General features: G+C 42.0%; 3 annotated features.

Moving 5' to 3' along the window:
* Positions 1,635–2,172: an enhancer, noted in NCBI's record as "H3K4me1 hESC enhancer chr2:77817198-77817735 (GRCh37/hg19 assembly coordinates)". NCBI's record gives its function as "activates a minimal SCP1, AML or CMV promoter by ChIP-STARR-seq in naive H9 embryonic stem cells {active_cell/tissue: H9 hESC(naive)}" and the evidence as "EXISTENCE:reporter gene assay evidence [ECO:0000049][PMID:30033119]".
* Positions 2,173–2,709: an enhancer, noted in NCBI's record as "H3K4me1 hESC enhancer chr2:77817736-77818272 (GRCh37/hg19 assembly coordinates)". NCBI's record gives its function as "activates a minimal SCP1, AML or CMV promoter by ChIP-STARR-seq in naive H9 embryonic stem cells {active_cell/tissue: H9 hESC(naive)}" and the evidence as "EXISTENCE:reporter gene assay evidence [ECO:0000049][PMID:30033119]".
* Positions 4,690–5,256: an enhancer, noted in NCBI's record as "NANOG-H3K27ac-H3K4me1 hESC enhancer chr2:77820253-77820819 (GRCh37/hg19 assembly coordinates)". NCBI's record gives its function as "activates a minimal SCP1, AML or CMV promoter by ChIP-STARR-seq in naive and primed H9 embryonic stem cells {active_cell/tissue: H9 hESC(naive and primed)}" and the evidence as "EXISTENCE:reporter gene assay evidence [ECO:0000049][PMID:30033119]".

The following is a 10,103-nucleotide window of genomic DNA, read 5'->3' on the forward strand; positions in this document are numbered from 1 at the left end:
CTATAGGGATTTGTGGCCCAAAGTATTCCTGAATTCAGAGGTGGCTGTGATACGGATGCCAGGCTTAGGTATTTAAGCACGTATTTGAAATGCTCGGTTCTTCAGAATTGTAAGAACATTACATCTAGTTGAAAGATAACTTTTCATCATCTTCTTAGATGTCAAATTCCTTTGAGCAATTTGCAACATTCAAAAAGTATATTGACAGATCAGCAAAAAGGAAAGGGCATTTTCATCACCTTGAGAAATGGCAATCAAAGGGAATGTGCCAACCAATTAAAGCATGATCAATGCCTCTATTTCCTTTCTTTTCTGTCATAAACTGTGGCTAAAAAAGAATTAAGTTATTATTTTTTTAAAGCCTACCTTATGTTGATAATGTCACAGCAGGGTGCTCATATAAAAAAGTGATTTGAATAACGAGAGTTTAAATATACTATATGGTGAATTACATTGATAGTTTTATGAAGGCAGTATTAATCATGTTTAAAATACAAGAATGTCTAATAGTTTGGTTCAATGTAAAGTAAAAAAAAAACTGGCATTGGTCAGCTCAAAGTGCTTCATGGTTTTGTGGAAATATATGTATATAAACAAAATTAGAATGAATTACTAGCTTAAGGAACTATGGTCTTTGTTTTCTTTGTTAAATCCAATTACAATAAAGTACATTTTCTTCCACAATATATCCATTTCCTTATCTTAGTAGAAGACCTACGTTTTTTAGTCATCTTGATGATTTGGATATGTAAAACTAAGGAGCACATTTTCTCTATCTGCTATACAGCAAGTATTTAAGATTTTGATTTATGGATGCTGGATAGCTAGGAAAGACAGATATAGGTTTGGCACATGCTCAAGTGTCAATATATGAGGAACTCGGACACATCTGGAAAGTTTACAGTTCTAGGGTCATTGATTATAAACTGCCAAAACCTTACTGAGAAGACAAGAAGCCAAATGAGACTCTCAAGGGCGAGTATCTTAAAGTTAACAGTCTGTATGCATGCTTGCTTCTTGCATCTGGCCCTAGGGACATCTGCTATTCTCTTTCTGTTTGTAGAGACAAAACAGAAATCCAGTCCTTCCTGCACCTGATGTGTGCCAATATCCCAGTAGATGGTACCATGCTCTATTCAGAACTGAATCTCTGTATGACATAGGACCACCTAATGAGACTGTTCTGATACAGTAGTTAGGTTAGTTCCCTAACATACCAGTTGGCATACTTGGGAGAACAAGTTAGAGAAGCTTGCAGTTAGGAAGACCTTTACAGGAATTCATGAGAGAGATGATGGGGGCTGGGTCCAGGTGGTGGATGGGGGATGATGTTGCGGGAGGAGTTTGATTGCTCTTCCCCTGTTTTCAGTTAAGTTTACAGTGAAGCAGAAAGCAAGGGCATCAAAGGAGAATGAAGATAGATAGAGGTATTAGGCTTAAATCACAGGAAAAAAAAAAGGGTGAGAAATAGTTTGTGAGAGAAAAGAAAGAATCAACTGTAAGTGGATCAGGGACTCCTAGTGTGGTTGCCTGAAGGCATTAAGGGTGAGCTAATGTCTCAAGATCATAAACTGAAATTGGGTTTAATCATTCTATCTGTGAGTTTTCCCTAGTCATTTCAGCAACAGAGGACTAAACTATAACTATAAAAACAGTGTTTGTGAGTTGGAATTTTTTTTATAAGGAGCAAGGTAGTTAAATGAAACAGACTTAACTTAAAATTATTTTCTACCTTTCCTTTTTGTCATATTGCCATAATTTTCCTCTAGCATTAATAATTTATTCCCTTCACCAAATGCATACATTTTATAATACTTGTTTTGTAGTTAGCTAATGTATGTGCTTTTCAAATTAAATAGTAATTATATTAATGAGAGTTGACAGTGTGCTGGCAGCCCTCGCAGCCCTCGCTTGCTCTTGGCACCTCCTCGGCCTCGGCACCCACTCTGGCCGCACTTGAGGAGCCCTTCAGCCCACCGCTGCACTGTGGGATCCACTTCCTAGGATGGCCGAGGCCAGAGCCGGCTCCCTCAGCCTGCGGGGAGATGTGAAGGGAGAGGCAAGGGTGGGAACCGCGGCGGTCAGCTAGAGTTCTGGGTGGGTGTGGGCTTAGCAGGCCCCATACTCAGAGTGGCCAGCTGGCCCTGCCAGCCTGAGCAGTGAGGGGCTTAGCACCCAGCCCAGCAGCTGCGGAGGGTGCACCGGGTCCCCCAGCAGTCTTGGCCCACTGGCGCTGCACTCGATTTCTCGCCGGGCCTTAGCCACCTCCCCAAGGGGCAGGGCTCGGGACCTGCAGCCTGCCATGCCTGAGCATCCCCCACCCGCCGTGGGCTTGTGCGCGGCCCTAGCCTCCCCGATGAGAACCTCCCCCTGCTCCACAGCGCTGGTCCCATGGACCGCCCAAGGGCTGAGGAGTGCAGGCGCAAGGTGCGGGACTGGCAGGCAGCTCCACCTGCGACCTCCCTGTGGGATCCACTGGGTGAAGCCAGCTGGGCTCCTGAGTCTAGTGGGGACTTGGAGAAACATTTATGTCTAGCTAAGGGATTGTAAATGCACCAATCAGCACTCTGTATCTAGCTCAAGGTTTGTAAACACACCAATCAGCACCCTGCGTCTAGCTCAGGGTTTGTGGATGCACCAATCTACACTCTGTATCTAGCTAATCTGGTGGGGATTTGGAGGACCTTTATGTCTAGCTAAGGGACTGTAAATACACCAATCAGCACTCTATGCCTAGCTCAAGGTTTGTAAATGCACCAATCAGCACTCTGTGTCTAACTAATCTAGTGGGGACTTGGAGAACTTTTGTATCTAGCTCAGGGATTGTAAATGCACCAGTCAGCACCCTGTCAAAACGGACCAATCAGCTCTCTGTAAAACAGACCAATCAGCTCTCTGTAAAATGGACCAATCAGCAGGATGTGGGTGGGGCCAGATAAGGGAATGAAAGCAGGCTGCCGAGCCAGCAGTAGCAAACCACTCTGGTCCCCTTCCACAGTGTGGAAGCTTTGTTCTTAGCTCTTTGCAATAAATCTTGCTGCTGCTCAGTCTTTGCGTCCACACAGCCTTTATGAGCTGTAACACTCCCCGCGAAGGTCTACAGCTTCACTTCTGAGCCAGCAAGACCACGGACCCACCAGAAGGAAGAAACTCTGAACACATCCAAACATCAGAAGGAAAAAACTCTGGACACGCCGCCTTTAAGAACTGTAACACTCACTGTGAGGGTCCGTGGCTTCATTCTTGAAGTTAGTGAGACCAAGAACCCACCAATTGTGGACACATTTAAGTTATTTGGAAGGGATTTTCATTATAAAATTAGTATATTTTAAAATCAGAAATTTAGGAAGAATTTTATTTTATAAATAAAGCTATTTCACCAAAGCTAGATAATTTTGCTTCTATTAGTGAATTATTGGTAAAAATTATTCATAAGCATACTTAAAAAAAGCAGAGAATTGACTATAGCACTGTAAAGACAGAATTGTCAGCTGGGCGCGGTGGCTCACGCCTGTAATCCTAGCACTTTGGGAGGCCGAGGACGGCAGATCACGAGGTCAGATCGAGACCATTCTGGTTAACAGGGTGAAACCCCATCTCTACAAAGAATACAAAAAATTAGCGGAGTGTGGTGGCAGGCACCTGTGGTCCCAGCCACTCAGGAGAATGGCGTGAACCCGGGAGGTGGTGCTTGCAGTGAGCCAAGATCACGCCACTGCACTCCAGCCTGGGCGACAGAGCAAGACTCCATCTCAAAAAAAAAAAAAAAGAAAGAAAGAAAGAATTATCTATATACAGGAAATCTCTAGTAGTTACATTGTTAGAGTGATAATCACATTCGTGGATTGACTCCAAGTGTTTTGCCTTTTGATGCCCACAAGAATTTTCAGCTCTGGGGAAGAAAGAGGCTGCAGTTCCCTGGGTGCAAAGTTGCAGGATGGATGGGCAGGTGTAGATGCTGGGGTGTGTGTGTGTGTGTGTGTGTGTGTGTGTGACAATGAATGAAAGCCTCACAAAAGCAAAGCACATGCTTTCTCTAAAAATAGCATAATAAAGCCTCTAAATGTTGTAACAATCTAATATTTCTGAAAGTAATAAGATGGAAGGTTAAGAATAATACAGTGCATATAAATAAAGTTTAAACCAGAAAATAATATTTAAATTATTATCATTGCTGTTGCTGTTATTATTGTTGAGAAATCTATAAACACAATTCATTACATCAACATGTAAAGAAACTAGAAAATATATATAATCTTCTTAAAATGTGAAATAGATATTTGATACAATAAAAAATAGCTACTAGTATTTTTAAGGAAAAGTAACAGAAAAGCACTTATTTATAATAATGATATATATTTTTAAAATAGTTAATACCTGGGATCACTTTGTCGCAAGATGGCCAAATAGGAAAAGCTCCGGTCTACAGCTCTCAGTGTGAGCGACACAGAAGACAGGTGATTTCTGCATTTCCATCTGAGGTACTGGGTTCATCTCACTAGGGAGTGCCAGACAGTGGGCGCAGGTCAGTGGGTGCGCGCACCGTGCGTGAGCCGAAGCAGGGTGAGGCATTGCCTCACTCGGGAAGCGCAAGGGGTCAGGGAGTTCCCTTTCCTAGTCAAAGAAAGGGGTGACAGACAGCATCTGGAAAATCGGGTCACTCCCACCCGAATACTGCGATTTTCGACGGGCTTAAAAAACGGCACCACGAGATTATATCCCTCACCTGGCTCGGAGGGTCCTACGCCCACGGAGTCTTGCTGATTGCTAGCACAGCAGTCTGAGATCAAACTGCAAGGAGGCGCGAGGCTGGGGGATGGGCGCCCACCATTGCCCGGGCTTGCTTAGGTAAACAAAGCAGCCGGGAAGCTCGAACTGGGTGGAGCCCACCACAGCTCAAGGAGGCCTGCCTGCCTCTGTAGGCTCCACCTCTGGGGGCAGGGCACAGACAAACAAAAAGACAGCAGTAACCTCTGCAGACTTAAATGTCCCTGTCTGACAGCTTTGAAGAGAGCAGTGGTTCTCCCAGTACTCAGCAGGAGATCTGAGAAGGGGCAGACTGCCTCCTCAAGTGGGTGCCTGACCCCTGACCCCCGAGCAGCCTAACTGGGAGGCACCCCCCAACAGGGGCACACTGACACCTCACACGGCAGGGTACTCCAACAGACCTGCAGCTGAGGGTCCTGTCTGTTAGAAGGAAAACTAACAAACAGAAAGGACATCCACACCACAAACCCATCTGTACATCACCATCATCAAAGACCAAAAGTAGATAAAACCACAAAGATGGGGAAAAAACAAACAGAAAAACTGGAAACTCTAAAAAGCAGAGCAGCTCTCCTCCTCCAAAGCAATGCAGTTCCTCACCAGCAACAGAACAAAGCTGGACGGAGAATGACTTTGACGAGCTGAGAGAAGAAGGCTTCAGATGATCAAATTACTCTGAGCTACAGGAGGACATTCAAACCAAAGGCAAAGAAGTTGAAAACTCTGAAAAAAATTCAGAAGAATGTATATCTAGAATAACCAATACAGAGAAGTGCTTAAAGGAGCTGATGGAGCTGAAAACCAAGGCTCGAGAACTACGTGAAGAATGCAGAAGCCTCAGGAGCTGATGCAATCAACTGGAAGAAAGGGAATCAGTGATGGAAGATGAAGTGAATGAAATGAAGCGAGAAGGGAAGTTTAGAGAAAAGAGAATAAAAAGAAATGAGCAAAGCCTCCAAGAAATATGGGACTATGTGAAAAGACCAAATCTATGTCTGATTGGTGTAGCTGAAAGTGTTGGGGAGAATGGAACCAAGTTGGAAAACACTCTGCAGGATATTATACAGGAGAACTTCCCCAATCTAGCAAGGCAGGCCAACGTTCAGATTCAGGAAATACAGAGAACACCACAAAGATACTCCTCGAGAAGAGCAACTCCAAGACACATAATTGTCAGATTCACCAAAGTTGAAATGAAGGAAAAAATGTTAAGGGCAGCTAGAGAGAAAGGTCCGGTTACCCTCAAAAGGAAGCCCATCAGACTAACAGCGGATCTCTCGGCAGAAACCCTACAAGCCAGAATAGAGTGGGGACCAATATTCAACATTCTTAAAGAAAAGAATTTTCAACCCAGAATTTCCTATCTAGCCAAACTAAGCTTCATAAGTGAAGGAGAAATAAAATACTTTACAGACAAGCAAATGCTGAGAGATTTTGTCACCACCAGGCCTGCCCTAAAAGAGCTCCTGAAGGAAGCACTACACATGGAAAGGAACAACCGGTACCAGCCGCTGCAAAATCATGCCACAATGTAAAGACCATCGAGACTAGGAAGAAACTGCATCAACTAAAGAGCAAAATAACCAGCTAACATCATAATGACAGGATCAAATTCACACATAACAATATTAACTTTAAATGTAAATGGACTAAATGCTCCAATTAAAAGACACAGACTGGCAAATTGGATAGAGTCAAGACCCATCAGTGTGCTGTATTCAGGAAACCCATCTCACGTGCAGAGACACACATAGGCTCAAAATAAAAGGATGGAGGAAAATCTACCAAGCAAATGGAAAACAAAAAAAAGGCAGGGGTTGCAATCCTAGTCTCTGATAAGACAGACTTTAAACCAACAAAGATCAAAAGAGACAAAGAAGGCCATTACATAATGGTAAAGGGATCAATTCAACAAGAAGAGCTAACTATCCTAAATATATATGCACCCAACACAGGAGCACCCAGATTCATAAAGCAAGACCTGAGTGACCTACAAAGAGACTTAGACTCCCACACATTAATAATGGGAGACTTTAACACCCCACTGTCAACATTAGACAGATTAACGAGAGAGAAAGTCAACAAGGATACCCAGGAATTGAACTCAGCTCTGCACCAAGCAGACCTAATAGATATCTACAGAACTCTCCACCCCAAATCAACAGAATATACATTTTTTTCAGCACCACACCACACCTATTCCAAAATTGACCACATACTTGGAAGTAAAGCTCTCCTCAGCAAATGTAAAAGAACAGAAATTATAACAAACTATCTCTCAGACCACAGTGCAATCAAACTAGAACTCAGGATTAAGAATCTCACTCAAAACCACTCAACTACATGGAAAGTGAACAACCTGCTCCTGTATGACTACTGGGTACATAACGAAATGAAGGCAGAAATAAAGATGTTCATTGAAACCAACGAGAACAAAGACACAACATACCAGAATCTCTGGGATGCATTCAAAGCAGTGTGTAGAGGGAAATTTATAGCACTAAATGCCCACAAGAGAAAGCAGGAAAGATCCAAAATTGACACCCTAACATCACAATTAAAAGAACTAGAAAAGCAAGAGCAAACACATTCAAAAGCTAGCAGAAGGCAAGAAATAACTAAAATCAGAGCAGAACTGAAGGAAATAGAGACACAAAAAACACTTCAAAAAATTAATGAATCCAGGAGCTGGTTTTTTGAAAGGATCAACAAAATAGATAGACTGCTAGCAAGACTAATAAAGAAAAAAAAGAGAGAAGAATCAAATAGACGCAATAAAAAATGATAAAGGGGATATCACCACCGATCCCACAGAAATACAAACTACCATCAGAGAATACTACAGACACCTCTATGCAAATAAACTAGAAAATCTAGAAGAAATGGATAAATTCCTCAACACATACACTCTCCCAAGACTAAACCAGGAAGAAGTTGAATCTCTGAATAGACCAATAACAGGATCTGAAATTGTGGCAATAATCAATAGCTTACCAACCAAATAGAGTCCAGGACCAGACGGATTCACAGCTGAATTCTACCAGAGGTACAAGGAGGAACTGGTACCATTCCTTCTGAAACTATTCCAATCAATAGAAAAAGAGGGAATCCCCCCTAACTCATTTTATGAGGCCAGCATCATTCTGATACCAAAGCCAGGCAGAGACACAACAAAAAAAGAGAATTTTAGACCAATATCCTTGATGAACATTGATGCAAAAATCCTCAATAAAATACTGGCAAAACAAATCCAGCAGCTCATCAAAAAGCTTATCCACCATGATCAAGTGGGCCTCATCCCTGGGATGCAAGGCTGGTTCAATATACACAAATCAATAAATGTAATTCAGCATATAAACAGAGCCAAAGACAAAAACCACATGATTATCTCAATAGATGCAGAAAAAGCCTTTGACAAAATTCAACAACCTTCATGCTAAAAACTCTCAATAAATTAGGTATTGATGGGATGTATTTCAAAATAATAAGAGCTGTCTATGCCAAACCCACAGCCAATATCATACTGAATGGGCAAAAACTGGAAGCATTCCCTTTGAAAACTGGCACAAGACAGGGATGCCCTCTCTCACCACTCCTATTCAACACAGTGTTGGAAGTTCTGGCCAGGGCAATGAGGCAGGAGAAGGAAATAAAGGGTATTCAATTAGAAAAAGAGGAAGTCAAATTGTCCCTGTTTGCAGACGACATGATTGTATATCTAGAAAACCCCATTGTCTCAGCCCAAAATCTCCTTAAGCTGATAAGCAACTTCGGCAAAGTCTCAGGATACAAAATCAATGTACAAAAATCACAAGCATTCTTATACACCAACAACAGACAAACAGAGAGCCAAATCATGAGTGAACTCCCATTCACAATTGCTTCAAAGAGAATAAAATACCTAGGAATCCAACTTACAAGGGATGTGAAGGACCTCTTCAAGGAGAACTACAAACCACTGCTCAAGGAAATAAAAGAGGATACAAACAAATGGAAGAACATTCCATGCTCATGGGTAGGAAGAATCAATATCGTGAAAATGGCCATACTGCCCAAGGTAATTTACAGATTCAATGCCATCCCCATCAAGCTACCAATGCCTTTCTTCACAGAATTGGAAAAAACTACTTTAAAGTTCATATGGAACCAAAAAAGAGCCCACATTGCCAAGTCAATCCTAAGCCAAAAGAACAAAGCTGGAGGCATCACACTACCTGACTTCAAACTATACTATAAGGCTACAGTAACCAAAACAGCATGGTACTGGTACCAAAACAGAGATATAGATCAATGGGACAGAACAGAGCCCTCAGAAATAACGCCGCGTATCTACAACTATCTGACCTTTGACAAACCTGAGAAAAACAAGCAATGGGGAAAGGATTCCCTATTTAATAAATGGTGCTGGGAAAACTGGCTAGCCATATGTAGAAAGCTGAAACTGGATCCCTTCCTTACACCTTATATAAAAATCAATTCAAGATGGATTAAAGACTTAAATGTTAGACCTAAAACCATAAAAACCCTAGAAGAAAACCTAGGCAGTACCATTCAGGACATAGGCATGGGCAAGGACTTCATGTGTAAAACACCAAAAGCAATGGCAACAAAAGACAAAATTGACAAATGGGATCTAATTAAACTAAAGAGCTTCTGCACAGCAAAAGAAACTACCATCAGAGTGAACAGGCAACTTACAAAATGGGAGAAAATTTTTGCAACCTACCCATCTGACAAAGGGCTAATATCAAGAATCTACAATGAACTCAAACAAATTTACAAGAAAAAAAAAACAACCCCATCAAAAAGTGGGTGAAGGACATGAACAGACACTTCTCAAAAGAAGACATTTATGCAGCCAAAAGACACATGAGAAAATGCTCATCATCACTGGCCATCAGAGAAATGCAAATCAAAACCACAATGAGATACCATCTCACACCAGTTAGAATGGCAATCATTAAAAAGTCAGGAAACAACAGGTGCTGGAGAGGATGTGGAGAAATAGGAACACTTTTACACTGTTGGTGGGACTGTAAACTAGTTCAACCCTTGTGGAAGTCAGTGTGGCGATTCCTCAGGGATCTAGAACTAGAAATACCATTTGACCCAGCCATCCCATTACTGGGTATATACCCAAAGGACTATAAATCATGCTGCTATAAAGACACATGCACACGTATGTTTATTGCGGCATTATTCACAATAGCAAAGACTTGGAACCAACCCAAATGTCCAACAATGATAGACTGGATTAAGAAAATGTGGCACATATACACCACGGAATACTATGCAGCCATAAAAAATGATGAGTTCATGTCCTTTGTAGGGACATG

This window comes from Homo sapiens, chromosome 2, assembly GCF_000001405.40.
Source record: "Homo sapiens chromosome 2, GRCh38.p14 Primary Assembly".
Taxonomy (NCBI): domain Eukaryota; kingdom Metazoa; phylum Chordata; class Mammalia; order Primates; family Hominidae; genus Homo; species Homo sapiens.